Raw genomic sequence first — 26,322 nt, forward strand, 5'->3', positions numbered from 1 at the left:
ATGCTGGGATTACAGGCGTGAGCCACCGCGCCCAGCCAGGCCTTCCTTCAATTGCTTTAACATGCCAAACCAACTTAGATTTTTTGCACATGCTTTTCTCTGTGGGACACTCTATCCTGGTGTTTGCCTGGTTTCGCTCTTTTCTATCCTTTTGTCTTGGCTTGAATGTCACCTCTTCTGAAGCCTTCTCTGGCGACCCTGGCCATCTTATGTCCTACTTGTTATTTCTTCAAAATCGTACTGCCTTTTGTATGTACTGGTGTTTACTCATTCACACTGGCTACCTCCCCATACCTCACTGGCTGGAATGGAAACTCATTGCGAGCAGAGACAATAGGTTTTGCTCTCCCGCGGATCACGTCCCAGCCTCCAGCTCAGCACCAGACACTTGAGGGCGCAGGATAAAATATCTGCAGTCAGAAAGCACTAATAACCACCCAAGGGTTGGAGGAAAGCTGGCGCGGACCGCACGAGTGTCGCCGAGACGCCGCCGCCGTGCGAAGCTCCTCCCCTTCCGACAGGGCCGCGGACGCCCGGGCAGCCACGGCGGCGGGGCCGCGGCGGGCGCCGGCTCAGCCCGCCCCTTTCTCCCGCCGCCTCCCCGCCCCGCCCCGCGCCGCGCCGGCCGCTGTCAGCTCCCTCAGCGTCCGGCCGAGGCGCGGTGTATGCTGAGCCGCTGCCGCAGCGGGCTGCTCCACGTCCTGGGCCTTAGCTTCCTGCTGCAGACCCGCCGGCCGATTCTCCTCTGCTCTCCACGTCTCATGAAGCCGCTGGTCGTGTTCGTCCTCGGCGGCCCCGGCGCCGGCAAGGGGACCCAGTGCGCCCGCATCGTCGAGGTGAGGCCCGGGCAGCAGGCGGGCTCCTTGGGGCTTGACGGGATGCGGGCCGGCCTGTCCCGCCGCCCCTAGTCCGCGCCCCGCGGAGTCGCCGAGCCGCAGACTACGAGTCCCGGCGGCCACCGCGCCGCCCGCGTGGCAGTGGCCGAGGGCCGCCGGCGCGCGGCGTGCCGGGACTTGTAGTCCGCGCCCGCCCGCCTTGGGGGCCACCGCTTGAGGTCGCTTTGTTCCTGCGCCCCTTCTTTTCTTACATTTTGGGGACCAGATTCGTCTCTAGAGTGGGCTGGGAGAGGGATCCCGGAGGCCAACCTTTGGGGGTCCCCCAGCGCGCAGAGGTTAGCGTGTCGCTGATCGTGTGGCAGGTGAAGGCAGCAGGAGCGCGGATTTGGGTTAGAGGCCGTGTGCGCCCACAGTTGTCTGAAGGAGAGACCTATTTTTCTTCTCCGCGCCTTCCCTCTGGTTCCCTAAACTCCGCACTGTCACCGAACGTGTCTTTACTCTAGAAAGGAGGCCCGTGGGGCGGGGTGTTATTTTAGGCGTGCTGTGGGCTGCCGCTGGCACTCTCGAGCCCCGTCCCCGCAAGCTTTAGGGCGGAGCCAGCCCTGAGGCTCGGCCCGGGTCGGGGATGGGGAAAGCCGGGAGTGCTGTTCTGAGATCAAGCTTCAACCTTTGGCCCTGCTGCCAACTCACGCTCGGCCCTCGGTCACTTCCTGTCTCCCAGCCTCAGTTAGCCCTTGTAATACAGTAAAAAGAGTCTCTGAACCCAGATTTTCTCAGGATATAAAACACCTCCCAAATGTAAAATGCTGTTACTTTTTTTTCTTTTGCTTTGAGACAGGTTACCAGTTCAATTCTTTTAACAATTTTTGAGCTAGATGTATGGTTGGTTAGCTGCATTGACACTGTGGGAAAAAAAGGCTTCATGGACAATCTGGGGAATGCTTGGGAAAGAAGGAAAACAGGATATCTAGAAACAGAAGAGGCGACCATTGGTGGCCTCTAGTGAAATCACTCTGAAACCCTGTAACCAACAAAAGTTTTTTTGACCTAGAACTTATAATTTCCTCCTCTTCTAGGATATGGCCAATATTAGCATGGGGCTTTTGCTTCTCTCCTTATATGTTCATAACAATCAACTCCTGTCCTGTATTTTATTCCCTAAATAGCATCCAGAGAAAGTTAGATGAGTTCAACAAGTCATTATGTGTTGGACAGATGTATTTATAAATATTGATCATTTTGCCAGGCGCTGTGGCTCACTCCTGTAATCCCAGCACTTTGGGAGGCCGAGGCTGGCGGATCACGAGGTCAGGAGTTCGAGACCAGCCTGGCTAACATGGCGAAACGTTGTCTTTACTAAAAATACAAAAATTAGCCTGGCGTGGTGGCGGGCGCCTGTAATCCCAGCTACTCCGAAGGCTGAGGCAGGAGAATCGCTTGAAACCGGAAGGCGGAGGTTGCGGTGAGCCCATATCGCGCCACTGCACACTAGCCTGGGCGAAAGAGTGAAACTCCGTCTCAAAAAAAAAAAAAAAAAAAAAATCATTTTAGGTGTCAAAGTGGAACTAGTCCAACTAAAAAAATACATAACATTTACATCCTCTTAAAAAAATTTTTTTTTGTTGGTTCTCTTTCTTTTGTTGTTTTTTTGTTTTTGTTTTTGTTTTTGTGACAGTCTCACTCCGTCACCAGGCTGGAGTGCGGTGGTGCGATCTCAGCACACTGCAACCTCCGCCTCCCAGGTTCAAGCGATTTTCCTGCCTCAGCCTCTGCATAGCTGGGATTACAGGCGTGCGCCACCACGCCTGGCTAATTTTTGTATTTTTGGTAGAGACAGGGTTTCACCATGTTGGCCAGGCTGATCTCGAACTCTTGACCTCGTGATCTGCCCGCCTCAGCCTCCCAAAGTGCTGGGATTATAGGCATGAGCCACCGTGCCTGGCCTTGTCACTTGTCTTTTAAAAAGTAAAGAGACTGGCTGCTGCACTCCAGCCTGGGCGACAGAGCGAGACTCCGTCTCAGAAATAAATAAATAAATAAATAAATGGCAAGTGAAAAGTGGGAGTGATTTCAAATTTTTGTTTAGTATATGTGATCTTTCTTAAATAGCATGATGGGGGAAGGGGCAAAGACTTTAGAGTCAAAGAGATATAGGTTCAAACCCTGACTCTGCCATTTACTGTTTCTCTAGGCCCAGAGATGTTGTTGCCTTTAGTTCCCTGTGAAAAGGGAAAACATAGAAATGGCTGTTTTGTATGGTATTTGTGAATATTAAATGAGGTAAAATATCTGGCACACAGAGACAGATGCAGATAGTTTTTTTCTCCACTTTAAACTTCTGATCTTATTACCTCTACTTTAAACTTCCTGATCTTATTATATTGGTTATTTTTATTGGTGGGTTTTGTTGTTGTTGTTTGTTTTGAGATCGAGTCTCTCTGTGTCACCCAGGCTGGAGTGCTGTGGTACCATCTTGGCCCACTCCAACCTCTGCCTCCTGGGCTCAAGCCATCCTCTCACCTCAGTCTCCCAAGTAGCTGGGATGACAGGTGTGCACTGCCACTCTCTGCTAACTTTTTTTCAGGTTTTTGTAGAAACCAGGGCTCACTATATTGCCCAGGCTGGTCTCGAACTCCCAGACTCAAGGGATCTTACTGCCTTGGCTTCTCAAAGTGTTGGCATTACAGGCATGAGCCGCCATGCCTGGCCTGGTTATTTTTATTGCAAAATAGTATTTTTCTTTTAAATTACTTTATGCGTGTTATATTTGAATGCATTTAAATACAGTATGCTGTTTCTGAATCATAATATGCCTTTAAAATATCTGTACCTAAATTAATAATACCCATACTACTACACTGGTTAAAAAATAATCTACACATTCAGGGCTGGGCGCAGTAGCTCACGCCTGTAATCCCAGCAGTTTGGGAGGCCCAGGCGGGTGGATCACGAGGTCAGGAGATTGAGACCATCCTGGCTAACAAGGTGAAACCCCATCTCTACTAAAAATACAAAAATTAGCCGGGCGTGGTGGCAGGCGCCTGTAGTCCCAGCTACTTGGGAGGCTGAGGCAGGAGAATGGCATGAACCGGGGAGGCGGAGCTTGCAGTGAGCCAAGATCACGCCACTGCAGTGCAGCCTGGGTGACATAGCGAGATTCCATCTCAAAAAAATAAAATAAATAAATAAATAAATACATAAATGAAATAATCTACACATTCTGCAATTATTCTTTATTCTGTTCAGTAATGGCAAATAATATTTTAAACTTGTTAATTATCAGTTACAAGATTCCATGATGAGATATGTTCTGTAATGTATTATATTATTAAGATTTCAACAATTATTTGACCTTAAACTGTTATCTTCTTTAATGAAAAGTATTCTCTTGAGTCTAGTTGCCATAAACTTTATTAAGCTGTCAATCAACTAATTCCAAATAGTTTATAATTTAGCAATTGCTATTCCCTAGCTGGCTAGACAGACACTGGAATATCTATTTTTTTTTTTTTTTTGAGACGAAGTGTCACGCTGTCGGCCAGGCTGGTGTGCAGTGGGGCAATCTTGGCTCGCTGCAGCCTCCATCTTCTGGATTCAAGCGATTCTCTGCCTCAGCCTCCCGAGTAGCTTGGACTACAGGTGCGCGCCACCATGCCCGGCTAATTTTTGTATTTTTAGTAGAGACGGGGTTTCACTATGTTGGCCAGGCTGGTCTCGAACTCCTGACCTCGTGATCCACCCACCTTGGCCTCCCAAAGTGCTGGGATTACAGGTGTGAGCCACTGTGCCCGGCCTGGAATATCTATTGTTAGTGAAGTCAGCGGTATGTTGTTTTTTTCCTTTGTGAATCTCTTTATTTTGACTCAATATTTTTTTATACAGGCAATTATAAACTAAATTCCAAAATAATGTAAGTTTTGGAGGTTTTTTTCCTGTAGGAAAAAAATTACATAAATCCACGGTAAATTCTCCAATTAATCTGGCTGAAGCTAATGCAGCTCACAGGGCACCTGAAATTGTTACTTTAGTATGTTGATTTCCAACTCAGGCTGCCAGAAGTACATATTTGAGTCCTAGCTACAGAATCTTCAGTTGACAGGAAGAGAAGAAAAAGAGAAAACCAAAAACCCTTAGGGATATCTTGCTCTCTAAGGCACTGAAATTAGTGAAGTGGGTATTGTTAGAGGGAAGCTGGTATTTTTTCTCTGGAGGTGAATTCTGCTCTGCAAATTGCTCCTGGAGACCTAGAGAAGGTAAAGGCAAATCTGATACAGTGTCTTCTGAGAGTGTTCTGTACTGGGAAGGAAAGATTGGAGGGAGGTTTTGGGATTGATTTTGCACATTTATTTGTACTGATGTTTTTCAGTTTTGTTTGCTTTTCTCCTTCCTTCCTTCCTTCCCTCCCTCCCTCCCTCTCTCCTTCCCTCCCTCCCTCTCTCCTTCCCTCCCTCCCTCTCTCCTTCCCTCCCTCCCTCCTTCCTGTTCTTTCTTTTTCTTCTTTTCTTTTTTTTTTACCAAATACCCAGACTTGGAGAATTTGTTTTATTTTCTAATTGTTTGTAAATCTGTATCCTCTAATACTGAATTTGTTTTTGAAAATGAGCTATTTTCTAAATCAGTGTGATACTTAGAGTTAAGTTTCCAGAATGGAATTATTGTGCAATAATTTAGTTATAAAATCATGATGGGAATACTGTGTCATTCTTGAATTTTTAAAATTAAGCTTTATTTATATTTGTTGTTTTGGCCCAAATGAAATTATGTCAATGTAACCTAAATTTATATTTGAAAATAACCACCATTTTACATGCATTAGTTGGAAGAAATATTTAAACCTCTCTTTTAAAGATTGTGAACATTTTGCTTACATAAACAAATTATGACTAAAGCTTATAACCATGCCAAATTGCTTTCTGTAGCACCCAGAAAACTTTTTTTTTTTTTTTTGAGAGAGGGTCTCACTCTGTTGCCCAGGCTGAAGTACAGTGGTGTGACCTCAGCTCACTGCAACCTCCGCCTCCTGGGTTCAAGAGATTCTCCTGCCTCAGCCTCCCAAGTAGCTGGGACTACAGACACATGCCACCATGAATGCCATGTTGGCCAGGCTGGTCTCGAACTTCTGACCTCAGGTGATCCACCTGCCTCAGCTTCCTAAAGTACTGAGATTACAGGCATGAGCCTTTGCGCCTGGCCTCACCCAAGAAGCATTTTATCATCTGTGTCAACTTCCTCCAGGGCCTGTGTGGGTAACTCTTACTTTGCCTGGCCATCCTACTTACTGCACTTAGAAAAAGTTTTGGATGATAATTGACTTTAAGCATATATAAATCAGAAACTTGATTTCATTTATCTTTGTGTCCCCAGTGTTGAACATTGTGCCTGACACATAGTAACTGCTTATTAAGCACTTATTGAATTATAAGTTGAATACGTTGGATTCATAGAGTTTATTGTTTGTCCTGAAGATGTAAAATTTTTAAAAATTCGATCCCCAGAGGGCGCTCCAGTGGCAGTTGGCTCTCCCATTTTAAGGACCAGAAGTGTTTGAATGTCTTCCTCTGATTTCTTTTTCTTTCTTCCTTTCCTTTTTTTTTTTTTTTTTTTTTTTTAAGACAGAGCCTTACTCTGTCGCCCAGACGGGAGTGCAGTGGCATGATCTCGGCTCACCGCAGCCTCCGCTTCCCGGGTTCAAGCGATTCTCCTCCCTCAGCCTCCTGAGTAGCTGCAATTACAGGCACCCACCACAACGCGTGGCTAATTTTTGTATTTTTAGTAGAGATGGGGTTTCACCATAATGGCCAGGCTGGTCTCAAACTCCTGACTTCAGGTGATCCGCCTGCCTCAGCCTCCCAAAGTGCTGGAATTACAAGCGTGAGCCACCGCATCCGGCTGCCCTCTTCCCTCCCCTCCCCTTCCCTTCCCTCCCCTCCCCTCCCCTCCCCTCCCCTTTCCCTTTCTTTCCTATTTATTTATTTATTTATTTGAGATGAGCTCTCCCTCTGTTGCCCAGGCTGCAGTGCAGTGGCACAATCGTGGCTCATTCTCACTGCAGCCTCCACCTCCCAGGCTCAACTGATCTTTCCACCTCAGCCTCCCAAGTTGCTAGGTCTACAGGTGCATGCCACCATGCCCAGCTAATTTTTTTTATTTTGTAGAAATGGGGTCTCCCCAGAGCAAGACTCCGTCTCAAAAAAAAAAAAAAGAGAAATGGGGTCTCCCTATGTTGCACAGGCTAGTCTCAAACTCCTGGATTCAAACGATCCTCCCACCTCAGTCTCCAAAGTGCTGGGATTGCATCGTAAGCCAGCGTACCCAGCCTGTCTTCCTCAGATTTCTCATGTAACACTTTTGTTTACTCTCAATGAATGAATCAATGATATGGTTGTGAAAATCTGCTGAGCAGATTTCCAAGCTCCTCATTACAAATTCTCAAACAGAGCAGCATTCAGAAGAAACTAGATAGGAAAATCCACTGGATATTAAGGTCCAGTGTTTAAGAATATGCTTCTTTCCTTCTGGTGGAATAATAATTTTTTTTTTTTCGAGGCAGAGTTTGAGTTGCCCAGGCTAGAGTGCAGTGGCACGATCTTGGCTCACCACAACCTCTGCCTCCTGGGTTCAAGCGATTCTCCTGCCTCAGCCTCCTGAGTAGTTGGGATTACAGGCATGCGCCACCATGCCCGGCTAATTTTGTATTTTTAGTAGAGACGGGGTTTCTCCATGTTGGTCAGGCTGGTCTCGGACTCCTGACCTCAGGTGATCCGCCCGCCTCAGCCTCCCAAAGTGTTGGGATTACAGGTATGATCTACCATGCCTGGCAAATTTTTTCTTTTTTAAGAAAGTTTACATTATCTGGTCCACAGGATACTTGACTCTTCAGAAGCACCACTGTTTGATTAAGGGTGCTTATGACATGGGATTTTTGTTAAGAACTTGGAGGAGGGGAGATCTTCAGATTATTTACTGCCCTTAATTTTGAAAACTTTCATTTTTTGCCTTTCCATTTTAAGTTATAAGAGTAACACATGCCCATAGGGAAAATGTTACATCTTTTCTAATCCTGAGATCACCAGTAGTAACTGCTTGTTATGAACTGCTTTCCCATCTCTTTCTCAATGTTCTTGTGAACAAAAATGCAAATATTTATATTTTTTACCTTCAAGTGAGATTAGTGTATTTTTTGCTGACTGTATCATAGATATCCTTTCAGTTCTTTACCTATAGATTTAATTCATTTGTGTTTTTTTGTTTGTTTGTTTGTTTTGAGACAGAGACTCACTCAGTCTGTCACCCCCAGGCTAGAGAACCTTGGCACTCTCTTGTCTCACTGCAGCCTCTGCCTTCCAGGTTCAAGAGATTCTCCTGCCTCAGCCTCCCAAGTAGCTGAGATTACAGGTGTGTGCTACCACGCCTGGCTAATTTTTGTGTTTTTAGCAGAGACAGTGTTTCATTAGGTATTTCTTTATAGCAGTGTGAGAATGGACTAATAGAGTCTACTTTAAGATTTTTATTTTTATTTTTTATTATTTATTTATTTATTTGGACAGAGTCTTGCTCTGTCGCCCAGGTTGGAGTGCAATGGTGTGATCTCGGCTCACTGCAACCTTTGCCTCCCAGGTTCAAGCGATTCTCATGTCTCAGCCTCCCGAGTAGCTGGGATTACGCCCAGCTAATTTTTTAGTATTTTTAGTAGAGACAGTTTCACCGTGTTAGCCAGGATGGTCTCGCTCTCCTGACCTCATGATCCACCCACCTCAGTCTCCCAAAGTGCTGGGATTACAGGTGTGAACCACTGATCCTGGCCAATTTTTATTTTTTGGGGACAGGGTCTTGCTCAGTCCCCCAGGCTGGAGTATAGTGGCTCTATCACTGCTCACTGCAGCCACTTGGCTCAAGCGATCCTCCTGCCTTATCCTTCAGAGTAGCTGGGACTACAGGCTCACACCACCAGGCCTGGCTAATTATTTTTTATTTTATTTTTTTGAGATGGAGTCTTGCTCTGCCACCCAGGCTAGAGTGCAGTGGGGTGATCTCGGCTCACTGCAACCTCCGCCTCCTGGGTTCAGGCAATTCTCTTGCCTCAGCCTCCCGAGTAGCTGGGATTACAGGTGCCTGCCACCACACCTGGCTAATTTTTGTATTTTTAGTAGAGACAGGGTTTCACCATGTTGGCCAGGCTGGTCTTGAATTCTTGACCTCAGGTGATCTGCCCGCCTCGGCCTCCCAATTAGCCAGGCCTGGCTAATTATTTTTTGTAAAGACAAGGTCTCACTGTGTTGCCCAGGCTGGTACTCACTCGACTGCTTCAAATGCTAATCTCTTCCGGAAATACCCTCACAGATGATAATGTTTACCAGCTATCTGGGTATCCCTTAATCCAGTCAAGTTGACACCAAAAATTAACCATCACAAACATTATTATATTTCTATCAAAAGTATATGAATATCATCTTGGAAGATTATTTTAATTTTTACAAATTTGTTAATCTATTTTCTGAGATTTTTGAGAATCTTTTCCTTTTTCTCTTTTTTCTTTTTTTTTTTTTTTTTTGAGACAGGGTCTCACTCTGTTGCCCAGCCTGGAGTGCAATGGTGCCATCTCAGCTCACTGCAGCTTCTGCCTCCCGGGTTCAAGAAATTCTCCTGCCTCAGCCTCCCAAGTAGCTGGGATTACAGGCACTTGCCACCATGCCCAGCTAATTTTTGTATTTTTAGTAGAGATGGGGTTTCACCATGTTGGCCAGGTTGGTCTCAAACTCCTGGCTTTGTGATTCACCCGCCTCAGCCTCCCAAAGTGCTAGGATTACAGGCATAAGCCACTGCGCCCGGCAATTCTTTTTTTAAAGTGAAATGGCATAATTAACCATTTGTATTTTTTTTTTTTTTTTGAAACGGAATCTTGCTCTGTCGCCCAGGCTAGAGTGCAATGGCGTGATCTCTGCTCACTGCAACCTCCGCCTCCCGGATTCAAGCAATTCTTGTGCCTCCACTTCCCGAGTAGCTGAGAATACAGGCACATGCCACCACACCCAGTTAATTTTTGTATTTTTAGTAGAGATGAGGTTTCACCATGTTGGTCAGGCTGGTCTTGAACTCCAGACCTCAAGTGATCCACCTGCCTTGGCCTCCCAAAGTGCTGGGATTACAGGCATGAGCCACAATGCCCGGCCCTCTGTGTATTTTTAAAAAATATTTTCCTGGCCGGGCGCAGTGGCTCACACCTGTAATCCCAGCATTTTGGGAGCCAAGGCGGGTGGATCAGGAGGCTGTAATCCCAGCTACTCCGGAGGCTGAGGTAGGAGAATCGCTTGAACCTGGGAGGAGGACGTCGTAGTGAGCCAAGACCACACCATTGCACTCCAGCCTGGGCAACAGAGTGAGACTCCGTCTCAAAAAAAAAAAAGTCTCAAAAAAACCCACAAAACTTCCCTGTACTTGTCATTTATTCAGAAAACATTTTTTGAGAGCCAGGCACTGTGATATTGGTTGTTGAGTTGAGTCAGAAGACGCAGATTGGCCAGTTGCAGTGGCTCATGCCTGTAATCCCAGCACTTTGGGAAGCCAGGGTGCAAGAATTACTTGAGCCAAGGAGTTCAAGACCAGCCTGGGAAACATCAAAAGCCCATCCCTGCATGGTGGCGGGCGCCTGTAGTCCAGCTACTCAGGAGGCTGAGGCAGGAGCATGGCGTGAACCCAGGAGGCGGAGCTTGCGGTGAGCCGAGATCGCGCCACTGCACTCCAGCCTGGATGACAGAGAGAGACTCCGTCTCAAAAAAAAAAAAAAGCCCATCTCTACAAAAAATTAGCTGGGCCTGGTGGTGCGTGCCTGTGGTCCCAGTTACTTGAGAGGCTGAGGTGAGAGAATCACCTGAGAAAGAGAATTCAAGGCTGCAATAAGACATGATCACGCCACTGCGCTTCAGCCTGTGCAACAGAGCAAGACCATGTCTTAAAAAAAAAAAAAAGACGACAGACCCTGCTGCCAAAAGTTTACAATGTAGTGAGGAAACAAGGAAATTAATTGGTGATGACTACAGGATAGAATGATAAATCCTATGATATAAATATACCAAATATCCCATTTAGGGACGTTTAGGGAAGGGACATCTAAATGTCAATTTAATGAGTCAGGGAGGGCTTCCCAGAGGAGGTGATGTGTATGAGCTCAATTTTGAAGGACAGTGGGAAAGAAGCAGTTGGGAGATGGAAAAACGCTTAGAGCAGTTATCCTTGTATAGGGTTACTGAAGGATTCAATTCTGAGTAAAGTGTGAGAGGGTAAACCGACATACGTGAGGCTGACTCAAAAAACACTCCCTTGAATGCAAACAGATATGAAAGAACTTTGCAGGTATTAAAGTTCAACTGTAAATTATTATTATTTTTTCTTTTTTTTTTTTTGAGATGGAGTCTCACTCTGTCACCCAGGCTGGAATGCAGTAGCACAGTCTTGGCTCACTGCAACCTCCACTTCCCGGGTTCAAGCGATTCTCCTGCCTCAGCCTCCCAAGTAGCTGGGATTACAGGCACACACCACCATACCTGGCTAATTTTTGTATTTTTAGTAGAGATGGGGTTTTACCATGTTGGCCAGGCTGGTCTCGAACTCCTGACCTCAGGTGATCTGCCTGCCTCACCTTCCACAGTGCTGGGATTACAGGTGTGAACCACCATGCCCGGCCTAACTGTAAATTATTTCAAAATTGTTTATCTTTTAGTTTTGCCTCCCTAACTAGAGTGTAATGTCTTTAAGGGTGGGGACCCTGTCTTTTCCCTCTCATTTCACTACACGTTTTTCATTTATTTATTTATTTATTTTTACAAGGACTCTGGCTCTGTTGCTCAGGCTGGAGTGCAGTGGTGCGATATTGGCACATTGCAACCTTTGCCTCCTGGGTTCACGCGATTCTCCTGCCTCAGCCTCCTGAGTAGCTGGGATTACAAGCGTGCACCACCATGCCCGGCTAATTTATTATATTTTTAGCAGAGATGGGGTTTCACCATGTTGCTCAGGCTGGTCTCAAACTCCTGACCTCAGGTGATCCGCCTGCTTCAGCCTCCCAAAGTGCTGGGATTACAGGCGTGAGCCACCACGCCTGGCCTTCATTCTACTACATGGTTTTTGAAATGCCTTAGTCATCCTTCAGATCTTAGCTTAAAGACTCTCAAACGTTCTCAGTTTATGATGCCCTTAGTGTCTCAGTTTTTTTTTTTCATAGAAACTCTAGTGCAAAAGAAATACCTAACAGCTATATTAAGTAAGTAATTAGGTCTAAACAATACTTAAGAAGTATTTTCTAACAAGTTAGTAGCTGTTTGAAGAAATGATACATAGAAATTAGGATAAAAAATTAGGAGAAAAAAAGTAGCAATTTAATTTCTTTTTTTTTTTTTTTGAGACAGAGTCTCACTCTGTTGCCCAGGCTGGAGTGCAGTGGCACGATCTTGGCTCACTGCAAGCTCCACCTCCTGGGTTCACACCGTTCTCCTGCCTCAGCCTCCTAAGTAGCTGGGACTACAGGTGCCCACCACCACGCCCGGCTAATTTTTTGTATTTTTAGTCAATCTCCTGACCTCGTGATCCCCCCACCTCGGCCTCCCAAAGTGCTGGGATTATAGGCATGAGCCACTGCACCTGGCCTTTTTTTTTTTCTTTTGAGATGGAGTTTCCCTCTTGTTGTCCAGGCTGGAGTGCAATGGCTTGATCTTGGCTCACTGCAACCTCCACCTCCCAGGTTCAAGCAATTCTCCTGCCTCAGCCTCCTAAGCAGTTGGGATTACAGGCATGTGCCACCATGCCCAGCTAATTTTGTATTTTTGGTAGAGATGGGGATTCACCATGTTGGTTGGACTCCTGACCTCAGGTGATCCACCCACCTTGGCCTACTAAAGTGCTGGGATTAGAGGTGTGAGCCACAATGCCTGGCCTTTTTTTTGTTTTGTTTTGTTTTTGAGACAGAGTCTCACTCTGTCACCCAGGCTGGAGTGCAGTGGCTCCATCTTGGCTCACTGCAACCTCTGCCTCCCGGGTTCAAGAGATTCTCCTGCCTCAGCCTCCTGAGTAGCTGGGACTACAGGTGCCCGCCACCACGCCCGGCTAATTTTTGTTTTGTTAGTAGAGACGGGGTTTTACCATGTTGGCCAGGCTGGTCTCGAACTCATGACCTCGTGATCCGCCAGCCTCAGCCTCCCAAAGTGCTGGCCTCCCAAAGTGGCTCCCAGGCATGAGCTACTGCGCCCAGCCTAATTTCATTCTTAAGTAACCACACTTACTAATGAAATGTATATGCCTGTTGTGTACTGTTTCTCATACGCTGGAATCATATTGGACACTTCCACCTGCATTTCTTATTAATTTTATCTCCCTGTCTCTTTTCTTTCTCTCTCTCTTTTTTTTTTCTTTTTTGAGTCGGAGTTTCACTCTGGCGCCCAGGCTTGAGTGCAATGGTGCGATCTCAACTCACTGCAACCTCGGCCTCCTGGGTTCAAGCAATTGTCCTGCCTCATCCTCCCAAGTAACTGGCACTACAGGTGTGCGCCACCATGCCTGGCTACTTTTTATATTTTTAGTAGAGACGGGGTTTCACCATGTTGGCCAGGCTGGTCTCGAACCTCAGACCTCAGGTGATTGCCTGCCTTGGCCTCCCAAAATGCTGGGATTACAGGCATGAGCCACCGTGCCCGGCCCGTTTGTTTGCCTTCCTCTCCCCCTCCCCATCTCTCCTCCTCACTCCTCTCCCCTCTCCTCCCCTTCCCTTCCCTTCCCCAAGTGATTCTCCTGCCTTAGCCTCCCAAATAACTGGGATTACAGGCGCCCGCCACCATACCCGGCTAATTTTTGTATTTTTAGTAGAGACGGGTTTCACCGCGTTGGCCAGGCTGGTCTTGAACTCCTAACCTCAGATGATCCACCCGCCTCGGCCTCCCAAAGTCTTGGGATTATAGGCATGAGCCATTGTGCCCGGCCTATTTTATTTTTTTATTTTCTTTCTTTCCCTTCCTCCTTCTGTTCCTCCTTTCTTCCCTCCTTCCCTCCCTCCCTCCCTTTCTTCCTTCCTTTCTTCTTTCCTTCCTTCCTTCTTTCCTTTTTTCCTTCCTTCTATTCATTCATTCTCTCATTCATTCACTTTGTTGCCCAGGCTGGAGTGCAGTGGCACAATCATAGCTCATTGCAGCCTCCAACTCCTGGACTCAGGCCATCCTCCCACCTCAGCCTCATGAGTAGCTGGGACTACAGGCACATCACACCATACCTCTCTAATGTTTAAAATTCTTGTAGAGAGAGGTTTCATTATGTTGCCCAGGCTGGTCTTGAACTCCTGGCCTCAAGCCATCCTCCTGCCTCGGCCTCCCCAAATGCCGAGATTACGGGCATGAGCTGCTGTGCCTGTCCCACATTAATTTTCATGTGATACTTGTTTTTATCACAGCAATAGCCCATAAAATCAGCCTCACAAAGATATGATGTAATTGAAAGGAATGTGCCATGATCTTTTTGTTGTTGTTGTTTTTGGTTTTTGTTGTTGTTGAGACAGAGTGTCACTCTGTCATCCAGGCTGGAGTGCAGTGGTGCAATCTCAGCTCACTGCAACCTGTGTCTCCCAGGTTCAAGCGAATCTCCTGCCTCAGCCTCCCGAGTAGCTAGGACTACAGGCATGCGCCGTTACCATGCCTGGCTAATTTTTGTTTATTATTAGTAGAGACGGCATTTCACCATGTTGGCCAGGGTGGTCTCGAGCATCTGACTTCAAGTGATCTGCCTGTCTCAGTCTCCCACAGTGCTGGGATTACAGGTGTGAGCCATCGTGCCCGGTCCATGATCTTAAGTTGAAAATTAACTATCTTGTGTTCACTTAGTGTCACATTGACTATTGCTGTGTTTCCTTTAAAAAATTAAACCCAGGGCACTATTGTGAATTTGCTGTACCACATTCCAGTTTAGATGCTAATGCAAAAGGATTGTAATCACTGAAGACCTCCAAAAGTCACGTAGGAGTACAGTATTTTAACGGGTAGCTTTCTGAATTGAAATCCAGAGGATTAGAGAAATCAATCTAGTAGTGGGACTTTTTGTCCAGGTAAGAGAGAGAAAGGATGGGGACTCTGCTGGGAGTATAGAGACAGCACATATATTTTGATGTCTTATTTTTTTGTTTCATGTTGGCCTAGTCACACTGATTCTTACTACCTTAAAGCTAATACTTTTAGCCCAATTGCCATATGAAAATGTGTTTGCTCTTACATTTTAGTTGCTTTAATCTGACAAATTAAGAACATTTTTACAGACTAAACATGTGATAAGAGCATTTAGAACTTTAATAGGGAACAGGTGTGACAGACATACTGTTTGCTGACAGTTTTATGCTGCCTGGTGCGTAAAGTTAACAAACCATCACTTTGGTAAAGGAAAAAGCACCAGTTGTTACTTACTAGTCTCAGAGGCCTTCACTTTGAGGGACTGGGTCCTATGAAACATGTTCTTCCATGCCTGGTTTCCATCAGTCTTCTCCAGAAGACCCATAAGCTGGTTCCATTCCCCGTTGGAATGTATCCTATGTCAACAAGCAATTGAATATGCCTAATTTGGGGCTACACAAAAGTCTGTTTCCATACCCACTTTGTGTTTGGAGCTTCCAGAATGTGTTAGTCATTGATTGGTATTGGAAAATGTTACATGTTTAATTTAACCCACAAGCTTTACCTGTATAATTATGTATGATTTAGTTAGGTAATAACATGAATTTTCATTTTCTTGGTGCCTACTGGGAGTATAGAGACAGCAAAGATGTTTTGATTGTATAATTGGGTGTTGACTTAATGGTTAATTTAGGTTTTCAAATAGAGTTTTTCCTTGCTATGTATCATTTGAAGGGCAAGGGAAGTGAAAAGTGGAAATGGTAATGTTTCAGAAGTGGGGAAAGGCAAGGAGGAAGCAAAGGAAGCAAGAAGGATGGTCAGAATCAGGCTGAATCAAGGTGGGTCAAATATGCCTAGCTTTCTGTGTGTGGATAAAGTTTCTGATCTCATCTGCAAGCCAGGACATAACAAAATGATCAACTTTGAGTTTCTTCTTTAACTCCCACCAGTAGATTCTGTTATTCAATGGCCATAGTAGCTTGAAGACGAAAGACTGCATCTCCATATGGGTCACCTAGGAATTACCTCAGAGGCCTGTTGTGGAATAATAGAGTTATTGAGAGTGAGGAGACCTGGATTCAAGTGCCAGATTTCTTTCCAGTAACTGGCAAGTCAGCTTATCTCAATTTCCCCTTTTGTAAAACGAAGCGTATAGAGGAGTAGATGGTCTTACCAGCTCCAAAACAGATCTGTACCTCAAAACTTCTGTGTTAGATAGCATATAACCCAATATAGTCACACCCAAAAGGCAAAATATCCAGTTACTATGAATATGTGTGCCTTCTTTGCTATTCTGTAGCGTACGAGTTGGAGCACCAAGGAATTATGTTTAATAAATTCCTTTATTTCATGTTCATCTAGAACTTCACAGTGGTAACATTGCACCTATAAAGTTGAGAAAAGGAAAGCTTTTTGAAATGTAACAGTTGCTTGTGTGTATTTTTAATTAAAAAATTTTAAGAAATGTGCTATTAGGGCCAACTTTCTAAATGTTCTTGTTTGTTTGTTTGTTTGTTTGTTTTGGAGACAGGGTCTTGTTCTGTTGCCCAACTTTCTAATTTTTCTTTTTTTGAGACAGGGTCTCGCTCTGTTGACCAGGCTGGAGTGCAGTGGCGCAATCTCGGCTCACTGCAATCTCCGCCTCCCGGTTCAAGTGATTCTCCTGTCTCAGCTTCCTAAGTAGCTGGGATTACAGGCACGCGCCACCACGCCCAGCTAATTTTTTGTATTTTTAGTATAGATGGAGTTTCGCCATGTTGGCCAGGCTGGTCTAAAACTCCTGACCTCAAGTGATCCGCCCACCTCGGCCTCCCAAAGTGCTGGGATTATAGGCATGAGCCATCTTGCTCAGCCTTATTATTATTTATATAGAAACAGGGTCTCACTGTCTTGCCCGGGATGGTCTCGAACTACTGGGTTCAAACAGTCTGCCTGCCTCAGCCTCCCAAAGTGCTGGAATTACAGGTGTGAGCCACCATGCTCCACCTACTGTTTTTTTTTCTTGAGACAGGACCTTGCGCTGTCACCAGGCTGGAGTGCAGTGACATGATCATGGCTCATTGAAGCCTCTACTTTTCGGGCTCAGGTGATTCTCCCACCTCAGCCTACAGGCACAAGCTTGTAGTCCCAGCTACTTGGGGCCAATTTATGGGTTGAGGTTGGGGAGGGGGTGTTGTTTTGGTAGAGGTGGGGTTTCACCATGTTACCTAGGCTGGTCTTGAACTCTTGGGCTCAAGTGATCTGCCTGTCTTAGCCTCTCAAAGTGCTGAGATTACAGGCATGAGCCACTGTGCCCAGCTATTTTGGTTGCTCTTATTTAAAGTAGAGTGTGCGTACATTATAGAAAAATTGGAAAATACAGGCCAGGTGCCGTGGCTTATGCCCGTAATCCCAGCACTTTGGGAGGCTGAGGTGGGCGAATCACGAGGTCAGGAGTTCGAGACCAGCCTGATCAACATGGTGAAACACCGTCTCTACTAAAAATGCAAAAAAAGAAAAGAAAAAATTAGCCAGGCGTGGTGGCACGCACCTGTAATCCTAGCTACTCAGGAGGCTGAGGCAGGAGAATTGCCTGAACCCGGGAGGGCAGAGGTTGCATTGAGCCGAGATCACGCCACTGCACTCCAGCCTGGGCGACAAAGTGAGACTGTCTCAAAAAAAAAAAAAGAAAAGAAAAATTGGAAAATACAGATCCCCCACCCTTCCCTAGCTCCTGGTAAGTTCTAATCTACTGTCTCTACGAGTTTGCCTATTTTAGGTACCTCATATAAGTAGAATTATATGATACTTGTCATTTTGTGTCTGGCTTATTTTACTTAACATAATTTTTGTTTGTTTGTTTGTTTGTTTGTGACGGAGTCTCGCTTTGTTGCCCAGGGTGGAGTTCAGTGGCACGATCTCAGCTCACTGCAACCTCCGCCTCCCAGATTCAATGATTCTGCCTCAGCCTCCCAAGTAGCTGGGACTACAAGCACATGCCACCACGCCTGGCTAAATTTTTGTATTTTTATTAGAGATGGGGTTTCACTGTGTTAGCCAGGGTGGTCTCGATCTCCTGACCTTGTGATCCACCTGCCTCGAGCTCCCAAAGTGCTGGGATTACAGGTGTGAGCCACTGCGCCTGGCCCATAATGTTTTTAAGCTTCCTCCATGTTAGCATGTATCAGAACTTCCTTTTTATGGCTCAATAATGTTCCATTATATGTATGCAGCACATTGTGCTTAGTCATTCATCTGTTGATGGACACTTAGGTTGTTTCCACCTTTGGTTACTGTGAATAATACTGCAGTGATTGGTGTTCAAGTATCTGTTTGAGTCTGTTTTCAGTTCTTTGGGGTATATACATAGAAATGGAATTGCTGAGTCACATGGTAATTTTGTGTTTAACTTGTTAAGGAACCACTAAACTATTTTCCACAGGAGCTGCACCATTTTACATATCCACCAGCAGTATACAAAGGTTCCAGTTTCTCCACATCTTCACCAATGTTTATTTTTTTTGTTTTTGTTGTTGTTTTTAAAATTATAGCCATTCTAGTAGGTGTGAAGGGTTTTTTGTTTTTTTTTCTCCTCAGAATAGTGCATTTAAAAAATTGTCTTTGGCCGGGTGTAATGGCTTACACCTGTAATCCCAGCACTTTGGGAGGCTAAGGCAGGTGGATCATTTGAGGTCAGGAGTTGATGACCAGCCTGACCAACGTAGTGAAACCCTGTCTCTACTAAAAATACAAAAAATGAGCTGGGCATGGTGTTGCACATCCGTAATCCCAGCTACTAGGGAGGCTGAGGCAGGAGAATTGCTTGAACCCAGGAGGCGGAGGTTGCAGTGAGCTGAGATTGCGCCACTGCACTCCAGCCTGGGCAACAGAGTGAGATTTCATCTCAAAAAAGTAAATAAATAAAAATAAAAAGATGTCTTTTAATTGGGTTATATATCTTCTTATCGAGCTGTAAGAGTTTATATATTTCAAAGATAAGCCCCTAATCCAGATGTATGATTTATAAACATTTTCTCCCATCCTGTGGGCTGTCTTTTATTTTCTTGGTAGTGGTATTTCTTTAAAGTAAAATGTTTTAAATTTTGAGGAGATCTTACATCTTGTACAATAGAACATCCAGTATGCTTTCTATTGCCTATGGTGCAGAGATTAAAAAGGCTGATAAGCTAGTCCAAAACTACAAAAATAAAGATGTAACTGGTATCTATATAGTGCCACGAGTTGGGAGTGGGAAAGAGACGGGGTAGTGGTAAATGGAAAGGAAGGTGGGGAGGGATAGGGGGTCACAGATTCTCATTACTTCTTTGACCAGTTCAAGGGCATAATTGAGTTCAAGTTAATTAAATCAGATTAGTGGGATGCCCATTAAGCAAAAAGTCACCTATTTTGTAAATGGTTTTCAGTGCTTTTTCTATTGTGTAGTCATGACAGGAAAAAAATATGGAAAAATTTTCCATAAGATTACCACTTCTTAGGTCATTTTCCTTGATGAAGTTAGGCTCTAATCAAGAACCAAGAGGCCCATGTAGTCTGCTGTACATTATAGAAATGGGTACAGTTATTTATGGTCATCATTAAATCCCATGCTGGGCTGTGGTTTGATTGCGATATTGTTTAAAAATGTATTATCACTAAACTGACTTTAATTTTAGATTGAGCAAAATATACTTATGAAGGTAAATTTTATACCAAAATTTAAAAAAAATTACTACTTTTCAAGCCAAATGATGATTTCTCTCACACTTCTATTAGCACAGGTTATTGGAGTAACAATGAAGGTGATTCTTTGTTATCTAAGCAGTGATTGATGTTTTTCTAAAAAGTCAATTAAGAGAGGTTACTTGGCACAATAAAGTTATGAAAGTGCTCCAATGGGTTATTTTGGAGACTAAGAGTAGTATGCTTATATTGTCTATGCCATAGAAGTGGCATTTCTAGAATATCTTGCTTATAATTTTAAACTCAAATGTCTGGAGTAGAGCTTCATTGAAATATGTTTCCTTTTAAACTTTTGCTGCTGTACCTTATGGATCCTCTCAACTGAGTATGTCTCTAAATTTCCTTCTGTTTCTAGGCTATAAAACTGGACTGTTTTCTGTCCCCTGTAACTCTTCATGCCCATGCAGTGTGTTTCTGTGTTACTATATTATACTTTTGTTTCTCCTTTGTTTAAGGAGTGGATCACTTTCCAGAAAAATTTTTATCTAAACACTTGAATTGATTTTTGTATTTAGAGCAGTTCACCAATATGTCTCCAGAGCTGCTATTCTCTATCATGATTTAGTTTTAAATTTTAGATAAGTTTTTGATTGTGCAGGTACTGTTTCCCTTTTTTTTAATACCATATGGTGGTTTTTATATTGGGATTCTTATCCTTACTTCATGTGAGACAACTGAATTTTATTTTGCTGTGCTCTTAGGATTTGATGTTAATAAAACATTTAAATCATCAGTCTTTCCTTGTGATATTTACCTTTTGTTTTGAGATGGAGTCTCACTCTGTCACCCAGGCTGGAGTGCAGTGGCGTGATCTTGGCTCACTTCAACTTCGGTCTCCCAGGTTCAAGCAATTCTCCTGCCTCAGCCTCCTGAGTAGCTGGGATTACAGGCACCCGCCCCCATGCCTGGCTAATTTTTGTATTTTTAGTAGAGATGGCGTTTCACCATGTTGTCCAGGCTGGGCTCGAATTCCTGACCTCGGGTGATCCTCCTCCCTTGGCCTCCTAAAGTGCTGGGATTACAGGCGTGAGCCACTGCGCCTCGCCTGATATTTACTTTTTAAAGATGTATAGGTTGGGCATGGTGGCTCAGTCTTGTAAACCCAGCACTTTGGGAGGCTAAGGTGGAAGGATTGCTTGAGCCCGGAGTTTGAGACCAGTTTAGACAACATAGTGAACCCCATCTCTACAAAAAATAAAAAAATGAAAAAATTAGCCAGGCATGATGGCATGCTCGTAGTCCCAGCTACTCGGGAGGCTAAGGCGGCAGGATCACTTGAGCCCAGGAGGTAAAGGCTGCAGTGAGCTGTGATTGTGCCACTGTATTCCAGCCTGGGCAGCAGAGCAAGACACTGCCTCAATAGATAGATAAAGATGTATGGATAGTGCATACTTTTTTAAAACTAAAATTTTTAAAGTTTATATGTATATGTGTATATTGTAAAAAAAATTCAAACAATTTTGGAAGTACACAAAGTAAAAAATGAAAGTTCTCTTTAATCTCATCCTACCCTCCTTATGTAATCACTTGTCAGGTTTTTGCGTGCGTGCCTTTCTGGATGTATTTGTACTCAGATATAATGCACATGTGTATGCACATACACATAGTGCTTATTGTTTTGTGACTTGCTTTTTTTTTTTTTTTTTTTGCTTAGCAGTGTATCTTGGAGAGCGTTCCATATCGGAACATACAGATAGTTCTACTTCATAATATGCACAATAGTTTACTTAGCCATTCCTATATTGGTGGAAGTTTAGATTTGTTTTGGTGGACATAGACATTTGTTTACAAAAGACACTGCTGTAAACATTCATGTACATATGTCTTTGTGCACATGTGCAACAGTGCCATAACTCCTAGAAATGGAATTACTGAGTCAAAGTTTGAGCAAACTTAAACTTGGATTGAATAAACTTAAATAATTTGCCCAAGACTGAACTGATTTATACTTCTATGAAGTATGAAGATACTGGTTTCTCCATATTCTTACCATTGCTGAATATAACATTTTATTTTATATTAATTTTATGAACATTAGTTTTATAAAATTTTTACTTTTAATCCAGTGGAAAATGGAATCACATTGTCTTTTTTTTTTGAGATGGAATCTTTGTCGCTCAGGTTGGAGTGCAATGGCATGATCTCAGCTCACTGCAACCTCTGCCTGCTGGGTTCAAGCAATTCTCCCGCCTCAGCCTCCCAAGTAGCTGGGATTACAGACACACACTGTCATGCCCAGCTAATTTTTGTATTTTTGTGGAGACAGGGTTTCGCTATGTTGGCCAGGCTGGTCTTGAACTCCTGACCTCAGGTGATCCGCCTGCCTTGGCCTCCCAAAGTGCTGAGATTACAAGCATGAGCCACCATGCCCAGTCTTTTTTTTTTTTTTTTTTTTGAGACAGAGTCTCACTCTGTCACCCAGGCTGGAGTCAGTGATGTGATCTCTGCTCACTTCTGCCTCAGCCTCCCAAGCAGCTGGGACTACAGGCATGCACCACTATGCCCAGCTAATTTTTGTATTTTTAGTAGAGACGGGGTTTTAGCATATCGGCCAGGCTGGTCTGAAACTCCTGACCTCGTAATCCACCCGCTTCAGCTTCCCAAAGTGCTGGGATTACAGGTGTGAGCCATCATGCCCGGCCTTTTTTTCTGGGGGGACAGAGTCTCGCTCTGTTGCCCAGGCTGGAGTGCAGTGGTGCAATCTTGGCTCACTGCAATCTCTGCTTCCCGAGTTCAAATGATTCTCATGCCTCAGCCCCGCAAGTAGCTGGGACTACAGGCATGTACCACCACACCTGGCTAATTTTTGTATTTTTAGTAGAGACAGGGTTTCACTATGTTGGCCAGGCTGGTCTTGAATTTGACCTCGGGTGATTAGCCCACCTCAGCCTCCCAAAGTGCTGGGATTACAGGTGTGAGCCACCGCGCCCAGCCAGAATCTCTTTATATGCAATATATAGTATCCCATCACCTTTGTATAGTGAAAATATTTTCCTCCAGGCTGTTACTTATTATCTGATTATACTTATGATGCCTTTCTTTGTTCAAAAGTTTTTATTATTAATGTGGTCAAACATAAATCCTAGCTGTTTTGGTTCTTGTTTAGTGCCAAGCAAGATGTCTTTTCCTATCTCAGTTTATTTTCCTCTAGTACTGTCATAGGGTTTTTACTTGTTTTGTGTTTTAGAACTTTAATTCACCTGGCGTTTAGTTTTGTTGTAGTGTAATGCAGAGATCTAATTTTATTTTTTCCCAGATGGATAGCCAGTTGCACAAGTATCATTTACTAAATAGAAATAAATAAAAGCACCTATTTTAGGTGCTTTTATTACTTGTTGAATTCTTATTTATACTTGGGTCTATTTCTGGAGTCCCTTGAGTTTCATTGTTCTATTTGTCTATTTTTATACCAGTACCACCCTGTTTTACTTGCTGTAGTTTTATAAAATCTTATGTCACAAAAGGGACAAGTCCTCATTTGTAGTTATTAATATTATTTCAGTTTTGGCCATTCACTCACATTTACTCTTTCTGATAAGTTTGAGAGTCAACTTACCAAGTTTCATTTAAAACAAACCAAAAAGACAAATGCCAATCAAAGTTTGCTTAAAGTTGCCATAAGTTTATAGATTAATTTGTGGAAAACTGAATAATTACAGTATGAATTTTTCTATCTAGTAATACAGAATGCCTTCTATTTATTTATTTGAGACAGGGTCTTGCTCTGTCACCCAGGCTGAAGTGCAGTGGTGCAATCAAGGCTCACGGCAGCCTCCACCTCCCAGGTTCAAGCAATTCTTGTGCCTCAGCCTCCTAACTAGCTGGGATCTGAGATGTGTGCCACCACGCCAGGCTAATTTTTGTATTTTTAGTAGAGATGGGATTTCACCATGTTAGCCAGGCTGGTCTTGAACTCTTGGCCTCAAGTGATCCGCATGCCTTCATCTCCCAAAGTGCTGGGATTACAGGCATGAGCCACCGCACCTGGTCTGCCTTTTTTTTTTTTTTTTTGAGACCGAGTCTTGCCCTGTCGCCCAGGCTGGAGTGCAGTGGCACGATCTCGGCTCACTATAAGCTCCGCCTCCTGGGTTCACGCCATTCTCCTGCCTCAGCCTCCTGAGTAGCTGGGACTACAGGCACCCGCCACCACACCTGGCTAATTTTTTGTATTTTTAGTGGAGATGGGGTTTCACCGTGTTAGCCAGGATGGTCTCGATCTTCTGACCTGGTGATCTGCCTGCCTCGGCCTCCCAAACAAAGTGCTGAGATTACAGGCGTGAGCCACCGCGCCCAGCCCTGCCTTCTTTTTATGATATTGATTTTATTTGTCTTACACTAAAGTGTTTTTAATTTCTTCATATAATTCTTACACATTTAGTTTTACATTTATTCCTAAATGTCACCAGCATCTGGTGAGGGCCTTCTCACTGTATCATCCCATGATGGGAGCCAAACTCATCCTTTTACAAGGAAACCACTCTGTGATAACGTGATAATGGCATTAATGGATTCTTTTTTTTTTTTTTTCTTTTGAGACGGAGTTTCGCTCTATTGCCTTGGCTGAAGTGCGGTGGTGTGATCTCAGCTCACTGCAACCTCTGCCTCCCGGGTTCAAGCGATTCTTCTGCCTCAGTCTCCTGAGTAGCTGGGATTACAGGCACCCGCCGTCATGCGTGGCTGATTTTTGTGTTTTTAGTAGAGACAGGGTTTCGCCATGTTGGTCAGGCTGATTTTCAACACCTAACCTCAGGTGATCCACCTGCCTCAGCCTCCCAAAGTGCTGGGGTTAAAGATGTGAGCCACTGCACCGGCCAATCTGTTGTTTTTTATGTCAAATACAATCCAAGCAGAAATCCATTCTTGAGGGTGGGGCTTCCATGATCCAAACACCTCTCATTAGGCCCCACGTCCCAACACTGCCACATTAGGGATCAAGTTTCCAACACAGGAACTTGGGGCACGTTCAAACCATAGCACATAATATTGATATTGAGCCAGTTTGGTATTTCTGTTCCTCTATCGGCGTGTAATTTGTAGTTAAGCCACTGATTATTTTGGACTTTGGTCTAGGAGTAACCTGTATGAGTTTGTCTATCTCTTCTCTGACCTATCTTGAGTGCTGTCATAGTAGGTCTTTTTTTTTTTTTTTTTTTTTTTAAGGGACAGAGTCTCATTCTGTTTCCTAGGCTAGAGTGCAGTGGTACAGTTATAGCTTACTGCCGCCTCTAACTCCTGGGGCTCAAGCTACCCACTTGGCTGAGCCTTCCGAGTAGCCAGGACTACAGGTGCACGTCACCATGACAGGCTAATTTTTCCATTTTTTGTAGGGATGACATCTTGCTATGGTGCATAGGCTGATCTCAAACTCCTGGCCTCGAGCAACCCTCTCGTCTTGACCTTCCAAAGTGCTGAGATTACAGGCATGAGCCACAGTGCGTAGTCCCTGTTTTTAGAAGTTTGTTCTTCAAGAGATTCTTCTAGTTGTAACATCTAATAATGATATTTTGCTGTGGCTGTTAGTATAGTATAGTATGTGTAGATGTCATTTTTGGTAGCATACATATTATTTCTGTTTTATAAATAAACAGATCTAAGAAAGATTAAACAAATTACCCACTGTCACACTGGGTTGTGACAGAGTTATAAAACTTTAGTTTTAGTTATAAAACCTTAAGCACTCTAGTTCAGTGTTCTGAGTGTGTGATTTCATGTAAGGTTCAGGTTCTTGTGATCTTTGCTGAGTTCTTTGTGTTTCTCCAAATTTATTTCCCCATTAGTTTGATAATTTTGCAAATGCTCAAATGTTATGTTTGCTTAATATTATTATTTAGGATTCTGTCTCCTTTGTACATTTTTCTGGTGTTGATTCTTAAATTCAAATAAATTCTAGTTCCTAAAGAGCACCTGAGATACTAAAATGTGATTATTTCATGAAGAGGATCTTTACATGTTGCATTTTCAAGCAGTTGAATCTTTTGGGCCAACTTTCTTGCTTTTGAAATTCCTTAGGCAAATGATATTCTCATTTTAATGTTATTTACCTTTTTATAATAAGAAAGAAGTACAGGCCAGGCGCGGTGGCTCACACCTGTAATCCGTGCACTTTGGGAGGCCGAGGTGGGCGGATCACGAGGTCAGGAGATCGAGACCATCCTGGCTAACATGGTGAGACCCTGCCTGTACTAAAAATACAAAAATTAGCCTGGCATGTTGGCGGGCGCCTGTAGTCCCAGCTACTCGGGAGGCTGAGGCAGGAGAATGGCGTGAACCTGGGAGGCAGAGCTTGCAGTGAGCCAAGATCGCGCCACCGCACTCCAGCCTGGGCAACAGAGGGAGACTCCATCTCTAAAAAAAAATAAAAAATAAGAAAGAAGTACAGTGTGGCCTGTTTAGTGGTTGTTAAGAAACCTTTTTTCTTTTTTTTTTTTTTTTTTTGAGATAAAGTCTTGCTCTGTCACCCAGGCTGGAGTGCAAAGGCATGATCTCAGCTCACTGCAACCTCTGCCTCCTGGGTTCAAGTGATTCTCCTGTTTCAGCCTCCTGAGTAGCTGGGATTACAGGTGCCCGCCACCACGCCTGGCTAATTTTTTTGTATTTTTGTAAAGATGGGGTTTCACCATGTTGGCCAGGCT

General features: G+C 44.2%; 1 protein-coding gene across 5 annotated transcripts in view, besides 5 other annotated features; it reads left to right on the forward strand.

Moving 5' to 3' along the window:
• Nucleotides 423-1,062: a silencer, noted in NCBI's record as "silent region_854". NCBI's record gives its function as "represses an Ori minimal core promoter by ATAC-STARR-seq in GM12878 lymphoblastoid cells {active_cell/tissue: GM12878}" and the evidence as "EXISTENCE:reporter gene assay evidence [ECO:0000049][PMID:35858748]".
• Nucleotides 423-1,252: a biological region, named in NCBI's record as "H3K27ac hESC enhancer GRCh37_chr1:47799401-47800204".
• Nucleotides 449-1,252: an enhancer, noted in NCBI's record as "H3K27ac hESC enhancer chr1:47799401-47800204 (GRCh37/hg19 assembly coordinates)". NCBI's record gives its function as "activates a minimal SCP1, AML or CMV promoter by ChIP-STARR-seq in primed H9 embryonic stem cells {active_cell/tissue: H9 hESC(primed)}" and the evidence as "EXISTENCE:reporter gene assay evidence [ECO:0000049][PMID:30033119]".
• CMPK1 (cytidine/uridine monophosphate kinase 1) overlaps nucleotides 510-26,322 on the forward strand; it is a 45,050-nt gene continuing 19,237 nt past the window's right edge. For 4 of the 5 annotated variants that reach the window (NR_046394.2, NM_016308.3, NM_001366135.1 and 1 more), the window contains exon 1: nucleotides 510-836. Coding sequence is in view for 3 of the 5 variants with exons in the window: in NM_016308.3 (NP_057392.1) it covers nucleotides 666-836 (171 nt within the window). In the remaining 2 variants the exon portion in view is untranslated. Of the gene's footprint in view, nucleotides 837-25,017; nucleotides 25,596-26,322 lie in introns of those variants that run through there. The other variant, NR_046395.2, reaches the window with a different exon arrangement.
• Nucleotides 1,253-2,056: an enhancer, noted in NCBI's record as "H3K27ac-H3K4me1 hESC enhancer chr1:47800205-47801008 (GRCh37/hg19 assembly coordinates)". NCBI's record gives its function as "activates a minimal SCP1, AML or CMV promoter by ChIP-STARR-seq in naive H9 embryonic stem cells {active_cell/tissue: H9 hESC(naive)}" and the evidence as "EXISTENCE:reporter gene assay evidence [ECO:0000049][PMID:30033119]".
• Nucleotides 1,573-1,632: an enhancer, noted in NCBI's record as "active region_1008". NCBI's record gives its function as "activates an Ori minimal core promoter by ATAC-STARR-seq in GM12878 lymphoblastoid cells {active_cell/tissue: GM12878}" and the evidence as "EXISTENCE:reporter gene assay evidence [ECO:0000049][PMID:35858748]".

Source organism: Homo sapiens, chromosome 1 (assembly GCF_000001405.40).
Source record: "Homo sapiens chromosome 1, GRCh38.p14 Primary Assembly".
In the NCBI taxonomy this organism is placed as follows: Eukaryota; Metazoa; Chordata; class Mammalia; order Primates; family Hominidae; genus Homo; species Homo sapiens.